The sequence below is a fragment of the Homo sapiens genome, chromosome 1 (assembly GCF_000001405.40).
Source record: "Homo sapiens chromosome 1, GRCh38.p14 Primary Assembly".
NCBI classification, from domain to species: domain Eukaryota; kingdom Metazoa; phylum Chordata; class Mammalia; order Primates; family Hominidae; genus Homo; species Homo sapiens.
Window position 1 is genome coordinate 182,760,485 of NC_000001.11, and position 1,887 is coordinate 182,762,371.

Consider the following 1,887-nt stretch of genomic DNA (forward strand, 5'->3'; position numbering starts at 1 on the left):
CAAAATCACATAACCTGACTCTAATTATGTAATGATGAGGAAACATCAGACAAAACCCAGTTTCAGTGACTCTTGTATAGAGTCAATTCTTTTTTATAAAGAATTGGCCTGATTTCTTCAAAAATGTCAAGGTCCTGAAAATCAAAGAAAGTTCAGAAAACCCAATGATATGCATAATTCTGGATTGAATCCTGGATGGAAGAAAAGCACTGGTATAAAAAAAACTTACAGAGAAAATTAGCAAAATGTGAATAAGGTCTGTAGATTAAATAGTAGTATATCAATGGTCAATATTCTGAGTTAATATTCTTCTTAGAAAATTTATACAGACGTATTTAAGGACAAAGGGACATGATTTCTAAAACTTGCCAAATAGTTCAGAAAAAAAAAAATATATATATATATAATACATATGTCTATATTGCCTGAAGAGAGGGGGAAATTAACAAAGAAAAGTTGGCAAAACATTGAAAGTACCCATTACATGTAAAGCACTATGTGTGATAATAACACCTGACATATGTAGGACTTTACAGTTGACAACATCCTTTCACATGACTGCTCATTTGAATTGATTATCACTGAATTCTCAGTGAAATACAATGAAGCTAGGTCTCATGGGAGGGTGAGGAGGAAGGGCCTCAACTTTCAGCCAGGAAGGCAAAAATCTATAAACAGGTTTTTTAAAAAATTACTTCCCTAGAGTATTCTTTGTGTTTATCATTTTATCTTATAAACACAGAGGGATTTGGCCTTCTGTTAGGGGCCAGATTTTGACTAAGATATGGCTGTTTCTTTTTTTTTTTTGAGGTTGGAGCAAAAGTTTAATAAGTGAAGGAAGAAAGCTCTCTGCTGCAGAGAGAAGACCAGAAAGAGGGTTGCCATTTTCAGAGTTGAATGCAAAGGCTTTTATAAGAAACCGAGAAGGACTGAACATCTCATTTGCATAAGGTGTGAATTTCTGGTAGCTCCACCCTGTCCTCCTAGTGCATATGCAGGCCCCTAGCTTGAGCTACTCCATATTGCTTTGTTCCCCTTACTGTACATGTGTCAGGGGATGTAATTTTCCATTGCGGGCATGTCTGGGCAAGTCCCCTGTGTAGCCTTTCTTATTTGTGTGGCTGGGAGCATGTCTTAGGCAAGTCCCCCTGTGCAAGTTCCCTTATCTATGCCTGCAGTCTGTTCTTTTCTTTGAAATAATTCAACCAAGGACCCACCCTAACTGCCTGCCTGTCTGGTTTCTTCCTTTCTCCTCTCTCATTACCCCCCTCAGGAGTGGAGACCCTAGATACGGCTTTTTAATCACTCTATTCACTTATTCAGAGTATATAGACTCATATTGTGAGAGGTACCTCAGTACTGACATCACCTGAGGAAATAAGAAGTTCATGTCTTCTGGCTCATACTCACTTCAGATCTGATGCTCATTCCTTGAGTTGAATGTTCAACAAAATTGCTCCCATATTTAAATCTCTCTCTCTCTCTACCTTAGTGAACTGGTTTGGTTCTGCTGAATTCATGTGGTTGAATTAGAGACAGATGAACACACAATAATGGGTCTCAGGCAGGACAGTGTGCAGGAATTGGTTGACTGTGGCTCAACATCCATTCTCACCTATTGTTACCGAGCAATGGGCTCACTGCCCAATGCACATAGATAACAATACTATGGCACCAGCTTTGGAGAAAAGAAAACACTTTATTTCCAGTCAACTGGCAAGGAGATAGGAGGCAACACTCATAACTGTCTCTCCAATCTGGGAGTAGCTCCAGCTTTTATGGCCTTTCTAACTAGTTCCAGATGATGCCAATGCAGCTGGTCTGCCAGGCTGGTGGTGTTAAATTAGAAGGTCAAAGCCCTTTCTATTGTGCATACCCAGGCAATTT

General features: G+C 39.3%; 1 annotated feature.

The window, feature by feature from the left end:
• Window positions 216–1,415: an enhancer, noted in NCBI's record as "MED14-independent group 3 enhancer chr1:182729835-182731034 (GRCh37/hg19 assembly coordinates)". NCBI's record gives its function as "activates an origin of replication core promoter dependent on BRD2, BRD4, P300/CBP and CDK7 cofactors, and independent of MED14, by STARR-seq in HCT116 cells {active_cell/tissue: HCT116}" and the evidence as "EXISTENCE:reporter gene assay evidence [ECO:0000049][PMID:35650434]".